The sequence below is a fragment of the Homo sapiens genome, chromosome 3 (genome assembly GCF_000001405.40).
Source record: "Homo sapiens chromosome 3, GRCh38.p14 Primary Assembly".
Classification (NCBI taxonomy): Eukaryota; Metazoa; Chordata; class Mammalia; order Primates; family Hominidae; genus Homo; species Homo sapiens.
Window position 1 is genome coordinate 6,211,845 of NC_000003.12, and position 7,847 is coordinate 6,219,691.

At 36.2% G+C, this 7,847-nt stretch overlaps 1 long non-coding RNA gene across 1 annotated transcript in view; it reads left to right on the top strand.

Moving 5' to 3' along the window:
- LOC105376942 (uncharacterized) overlaps positions 1-5,311 on the top strand; it is a 150,192-nt gene extending 144,881 nt beyond the window's left edge. The window contains exon 4 of the long non-coding RNA XR_940578.3: positions 3,066-5,311. This is a non-coding gene — a long non-coding RNA (uncharacterized LOC105376942). The remainder of the gene's footprint in view (positions 1-3,065) is intronic.
- The last annotated feature ends 2,536 nt before the right edge of the window (positions 5,312-7,847 follow it).

A 7,847-nucleotide genomic window follows, 5' to 3' on the forward strand; every position in this document is an offset into this window, starting at 1 on the left:
AAACTGAAAATAGCTTGAAGATTTATTTTATTTTATTTTTATTTTTGAGACGGAGTTTTGCTCTTGTTGCCCAGGCTGGAGTGCAATGGCGTGATCTCAGCTCAGGGCAACCTCTGCCTCCCAGGTTGAAGCGATTCTCCTGTCTCAGCCTCCCACGTAGCTGGGATTCCAGGCATGTGCCACCACACCCGGCTAACTTTGTCTTTTTAGTAGGGACAGGGTTTCTCCATGTTGGTCAGGCTGGTCTGGAACTCCCGACCTCAGGTGATCCGCCCCCCTCGGCCTCCCAAAGCGCTGGGATTACAGGCATGAGCCACCAAGCCCGGTGAAGATTTATTTTAATTCAACCATATCAATAATCTTATTAATTATGTGAGGTCTAAATACTGTAATTACAAAATCAGAGGCTGTCAAATTGATAAAAAAACTAAACCCAACTATATTCTATCCATAGGAAAACTGCTTTGAATATAAGACATTGATCAATTAAATGTAAAAGGATGAAACAAGATGTACTAAGCAAACACTAATCAAAAAACAAGCTAAAGTAGCAATGTCAGTATCAGACAAAATACGCCTCAGAACAAGAAATAGTATCAAAGATATACAGACATGTTAGGCAGTGATAAAGTCAATTCTCCAAGAAAACACACAATCCTGTTTAAGTTATTAGGTGCATGCATCTAATGCTAATAACAAAGCTTCAAGTTACATGACACAAAACCCGATAGAACTGAAAAGAGAAATTGACGAGCCCACAGTTGTAGTTGGAGCTATTAACATTTTCATCGAAGTATATAATAAGAAGGCAGAAAACCAGAAAGAAGAGCAATGACCTGGACAATGCTGTAAATGAACTTGGTATAAACAACTTAGCATTTATAGAGCATTCCATGCAATGATAAGCATTTTTCTCAAGTTAAAATGGATCATTCACCAAGATAGATATATCCAGTGGTACAAAACAACCATAGTATATTTTAAAGAAAAAAAAGATACAAAATGTGTCTTCAGGCCATAATAAAATTAAACTAGAAATTAATAAAATAAGAATACCTGGAAAGACCCCAAACATTAGAAAATTAAACAACACACGTCTAAATAACCCTTTGGTCAAAGAAGAAGTCTCAAGGCAAGTAAAAAAATATTTTGAGCTTCTTAAAAATGAAAATACTACATTCAGAATTCAGGGGATGCAGATAAAACCATGTCCTTACAGGAAAAGTTTAGCATTAAATGTACTTATTAGGATAAAAGGAAAGTCTTAGATCAGCAACCTAAATCTTTATCCTATAAAAAAAAAAATGAGTAAAAGAAGGGCAAGTTAAACTCCAAGTAAACAAAATGAAAAAAAGATAAAAGTTAACACTGGGCGCGGTGGCTCATGCCTGTAATCCCAGCACTTTGGGAGGCCAAGGCAGGCGGATTACCTGAGGTCAAGAGATCGAGACCAGCCTGGCCAACATGGTGAAACCCCATCTCTACTAAAAATATGAAAATTAGCCAGGCGTGGTGGCACACACCTGTAATCCCAGCTACTCATGAGGCAGGAGAGTTGCTTGAGCACAGGAGGCTGAGGTTGTAGTGAGCTGAGATCATGACACTGCACTCCAGCCTGGCCGACAGAGCGAGAGTCTGTCTCAAAAAAAAAAAAAAAAAAAAAAAATACTCCTTAGTATTTACCCAAAGGAGTTGAAAGCATATGTCCACATAATAACTTGGACACAGATGTGTATAGTAACTTTATTCATAATCAGCAAAACTTGGAAACAACGAAGATGTCCTTCAGTGTGTGAGTGGATAAACTGTGGTACAGCCAAACAGTGGAATATGATTTCGTGCCGAAAAGAAATGAGCTATTAAACCCTGAAAAGACACTTAGATATTACTAAATGAAAGACGCCGATTTGAAAAGGATTTCTGACTTTCTGGAAAAGGCGAAACTATCGAATCAGTAAAAAGATTAGTGGTTGTCACCAGTTGGGGGAAAGAGGGATGAACAGGCAGAGTACAGACAACTTTTAGGGCAGTGAAAATGCCCTGTAAGATACTATAATGGCAGATATATATCATTACACATTTTTCCAAACCCACAGCATGTGCAACACCAAGAGTAAACGCTATTGTAAACTATGAATTTCAGGTGATAATAATGTGTCGACGTAGGTTCTTCCACTGGAACAATTGTGTGGGATCACTCTTGTGTGGGATGTCGAGAGTGGGGAAGTAGTGCATGTGTAGAGGTAGGGGATATATGGGAACTCTGTACCTTTCACTGAATTTTACTGTGAACTCAAAACTGCTCTAAGAAATATAGTTTATTAATAAAATAAACCGAAACAAAACAGAGAGCACTAATATGCAAATTATACTGGCGAGGTTATTGTTTTACGCAGACATTAGAAGTAAGCTTATGCCTGTTTTTACATTGTAAAGATGTCACCCTACCAGGGACACTTTTCCTTTAGACATTTGAATGGATGGTTCTTTTTTTTTTTTTTTTTTTTTTTTGAGACGGAGTCTCGCTCTGTCGCCCAGGCTGGAGTGCGGTGGCGCCATCTCGGCTCACTGCGAGCTCCGCCTCCCGGGTTCACACCATTCTCCTGCCTCCGCCTCCCGAGTAGCTGGGACTACAGGCGCCCAACACCACGCCCGGCTAATTTTTTTGTATTTTTAGTAGAGACAGAGTTTCACCATGTTAGCCAGGATGGTCTCCATCTCCTAACCTCGTGATCCGCCCGCCTCGGCCTCCCAAAGTGCTGGGTTTACAGGCGTGAGCCACCGCGCCCGGCCTGGATGGTTCTTTTTATTATCCAGAGCTCATCTCAAATATTAGGTTCTTAGAGAAGTTGGCTCTAACCACTCTATGTAAAACAACTACACATTGTATATTTTAACACATATTTAATCATGAAAATATTATTTGATCATCTCCTAAAAGATTAAAAAATGATAAACATTAAGGATTTTTTGAAAGAGGCAGTTTTGCTTATATAGGTTTTCTTTATTGCTTTTCTATTTTTAATTTTTTAATTTTAACTTTTTTTTTTTTTTCTTTTTTTTAGAGCAACACTCATTAGAACGGCCAATATCCAAAACACTGGCAACACCAAATGTGGCAAGGATGCGAAATAGCAGTAGCTCTCATTCATTGCTGGTGGAAATGCAAAATGATACAGACCCTTTGCAAAACGGTTCAGCAACTTCATAGGAAAAGAGTATGCTGAGTGTTGTTCTATCTCATTGTTGCTTTAATTTGCAGTACTCTAAATATACATAATGTTGAACATCTTTTCATGTGCTTAATTGCCATCTGTGTATCTTCTTCTGTCAGATGTCTGTCCAGATGATTGGATTTTTAATATAATAATTATGTATCTTTAATATAGATTATGTTTACATTGTTTAAAGTAAGTGAAATATATTTAAAAAAATGCAGATCCAAAAGTTTTGGAACCTATAAAAAAATCCACAGAAATCCATAGAAAGAGTTTTAAAAACACAGAGCTAGAAAACCTCTGTTATTTCCAATTTTCATCTTCTAGGATTCAAAGACATTGGATAGATAGAGGGAAGCAGGTTTTCTTGACATGTTTGTATTATGGCCAAGTTTGATAAAAATAAATCCATTCCAAAAAGCAAAAGGAATGCAAAGCAATCTAGTTGCAAGGTATACAGTTAGTCCTCCGAATATTCTGACTTTGAATTTGGTAAGAATTTCTTCTTATTAGTAAGAAAAGTATTCATAGCTGTATTCTCAATCAGCCTTTGCTGCAGTCACTCTTCAGAGTTTTTATTCTTGTCTTTGTCTGTGGAGCCTGAAAGAATTACGCCTATAAATAAGGTAGAAAGTTCTACTGGTTAGAAGTAGATAAACAGATTACATGCTTATCTCTGTGGTATGTCAGCACCCTACAAATTGGGGAATTGAATAGATCCATGTTCAAACAAGAAGTTTGCTCTACATTTCTACTCTATTCTGTTCTCAGAAATTAAATTGTAATAGACATTTAAAAAGTAGTGGTTGTACAGATCAGTATTTTACTGATTCTTAGAGAGTAGATTTTAATCAAATATGCCTTTCTTTGATTTTAAAAAGGAGAGAGCAAAAGCCCATTGAAAAGAAAAAAAATTCCATCTTCTACTATTACTATAGTTATAAAGTTGGATAATAATTAATAAACAGCCCTTGGGGAAGTTTTATGCATTGCATTAATATAATTTTTCTCAAACTATGCATGCAGTGATTCACAGTGAGAGTGACGTGCCTCTGGTGAATTTTGAAACTTCAAACATGCTGATTGGGGAAAACTTCCCTAGTGATTCCAGCATATATTTAATTGCATATGTCTATGGTCTTTTTTAAAAAAATGTTGTCTTTTGGAATCCCATGATAGCTTTTCAGCAAAAAATCCTCCTGATTACTTGACCATCTAGTTTTTCCTATTTGTATTAGAAGTACAAACAGTAGGGATTATATAACTGTGCTTTGGGATAAGACTTCAGCAAGGACATTGCACCTGATCTTTTCAAGGTTATTTCTGGCTGCATAACAAATTGCTTCAAAACTTAATGGATTAAAATAACTATTCTATTTCTCTCATACTTTGAGGGCTCAGGAAGTCTCCAGATTGCTGAGCCTATCATCATCAACTGAAGATTTGCCTGGGCTGCAACATTCAAGCTCTCTCACTCTCACAGCTGGTAACAAATTGCTGGCTGTTCTGGGGCACCTTCGTGTGGCCTCTCCATGGGTAATGGGAGTCTCACAGCATGACAACTTTGTTCCAAGACAGGTGTCCCAAGAGGGAGCAGCTAAAAGGCAAATATTCAAGGAAATCAAAGAAAAAGCTGCCAGGTGTCTTCTAACTTCATCTCAGATATCTCACTGTATGGTTATAAGTGAGTCACATTCAAAAGAAGAAGAAATTGTCCCCCTCTGCCAACGGGAAAAATGCCAAAGAGTTTAAAGTCATCTTTATTGCATCACATACAGTGTTTCTTAAATGGCAACTTGGTCATTCAGTATTGGCCAATTTCGCTGGGGAATTATCAATGTTCCATCCACATCTTGTTATAGCAGTGTCAAAAATATTTCCTATGTCAACCTCCCCTCTAGTTTCCCAGCTCACTTTATATACCTTAAAATATCTAAAAATGTAACCAACAAAGCTTATTGTAGAAAGTCTGAACACAGAAAAACAGATTAAAAATATACCTTGCTTCTAATCTCATTATTTAGTGATATCCATATTTTGCCATTTTAGCATAAACATTCAAGTTTATATAATTTTGTTAAATTGCTTTTTCATTTAAGAGTTAAACAGTGTTCCATGTCATTAAATTTTTTATATTATTTACATCTTTTAAATACTTTCATTATTTTAGAAAAATCTTATATTGTCTTACTAATTTTTTTTTTTTTTTTTGAGACGGGGTCTCGCTCTGTTGCCCAGGCTGGAGTGCAGTGGCGAGATCTCAGCTCACTGCAAGCTCTGCCTCCCAGGTTCCCACCATTTTCCTGCCCCAGCCTCCTGAGTTGCTGGGACTACAGGCGCCCGCCACCACATCCGGCTAATTTTTTTTTTGTATTTTTTTTTTAGTAGAGACGGGGTTTCACCATGTTAGCCAGGATGGTCTCGATCTCCTGACCTCGTGATTGATCCACCTGCCTCGAATTTCTTAAGGAGTATACAAAATAAAATTTATTTTCACTTTCCTTTCAGTTCATATCCATTATTGATATGGTAGTGATATTGGTGTGGTAGAGATTCACAAGAAGATGGTCGAAAACATATAATTGAATGAATCATATCATGTCACGAAAATGATACCATGGCTTAAGTTCAGATTCAATATCCTTTATCTATAATTATAGAATTGAAAAAGAATCTGAAAAACAATTTTTGGTTTTGTTTTTATAACTTATCTGGCAATAAGAACTGATCTCATCTAATGAGAGACTATGATACTTATTTTAAACAATATTTTGTATATTCATAACTTTGGCTGCAGAAATATTAATATTCAACTATGGATTGCTGCCTGAGACCCCCCCCCCCCCGGTGGTATATGTACTATATTAATTTTCTAAACTAGAAAATCTAAATTCTGAATGAATGAGGTCACAATGTTTTCTCAAAAAATTAATAATAGGATCTAACATCTATTGAGCTAGTGTTAGACACTGTTCTACGTTAATATGCATATTTGTTCATTTTATCCTCTAAACCAACAAATATGAATGATTATCCATTTCTCACTAGAACACGGACTCTCAAAGAGAGTGAAAAATAACTAGCAAGTGGAAGATGTATAATTCAATTTGACCCCCAAGCCTGTTTATTTTTTTACATTATTTTGCTTGACTTATTCATTGGCAGATAATTTTCTAAATACACTGAACTGTCTTCAGTAGGGCAAAATTAAGGTTTTAGTGTTTTCCTCTTTTTCTCCCACTCTATTTTCTAAATTCCTATAAATTCAAAGAATTGTATGATTGTTTACGGGGCTACCTGCTCTGTCCTCCTAAGACGGTGAAATCTCATTTTCTTCGCATTTTTTTTCGTTTCCTCTGTTGTCAATTTGTTAACTTCTAACCTCCCCTACTTTTATTCTCTGCCATGGGCATTGCCTACTTCTATCTTCTTCACTGTGTTTTTCAGTTTGATGTAAATATGACAAGCCACCTTAAGGTAAAATGTTGCATTGGAAAATAAATTCAAATGGTAATTTACGAGGCCTTGATAAGTAACGTGAATCTGTACAAAAGAATTCTGCAAGAGGTAACAGTTGAGAAATTGCATCATGCAATACACAGAAAATCTTCCTAAAAATACTCTTCTGTAATTGCGTTTCTCATAGTAATTGTTATCTTCTTTTGTTTACATCTCTTTGTTTATAGTCATCTACCTCCATCTTTTTGATAGCTTCCTAAATCCCTTTATACTTTATTCTCTATTTTTCTAGACCTATCGTTTTCTTCTCCAGGAGTTTCTTGTTATTTTTTATGTAAAGCCACTCACCCCTTCTTTCAAACAAAATGTTCTTAGAAGACTGGAGTTGGTGTTAGGGCCACTTTGCCTACCTGTTTTTGTTTCAGGCACGCATGCTTCTCCTGTGATATTGTCTATGCATTTTTGTATGAAACAGCCAGAATTAATCCACATTAGTAGGCAATTGAAGCATTCAAGCTCCAGTCTAACTCCTGCTGGTTTACTTTTTCTCCGAAATATGCTATCTTTGTATTTGATTAGAGCTCTACTGTGCAGCAAAAATATTTTTGCTTGTTTTAGATATAATTATTCTAGTTCTACTTTGATTAGAATCTCATTGAAGATAAAGTGGAGAAATAAGTTAACAACTGGGATACAAATAAAGCTGACTTATATAGAGAGATGTGATCATTCCCAAATCTTTCCTGACCCATTGAGCTACCGTCATCATTCTTGGAATTTCCATCGTACATTTTCCAGAGCAGATGCTCAGCAAATATTTGAATGAATATCATAGAACATTAGTTCGCTAATAAAAGGACATGGGCCCATGAGGTTTGCTTGCTACTCAGCTTCTAATCCTTTCGTATTGTTCATTCACAATTTTACTACTGCTCCTTAAAAAAAAAAAAAAAAAATTTTAAGCTTAGAAAGCAAGCTCTGGTGCAGGGCCTATCATGGGCATATCCAAAACTACGGTTTATATGGGACAACGATTGGCATATGCTTGTTTCTGAATATGATATTTATATCTATGGAAATCTGCCAAAATCTACATTCCCAACCATCTGACGTAATGTCGATCACAAGTTAATCTACCAAGATGATCCACTCCACCTTTCCTGGGACATT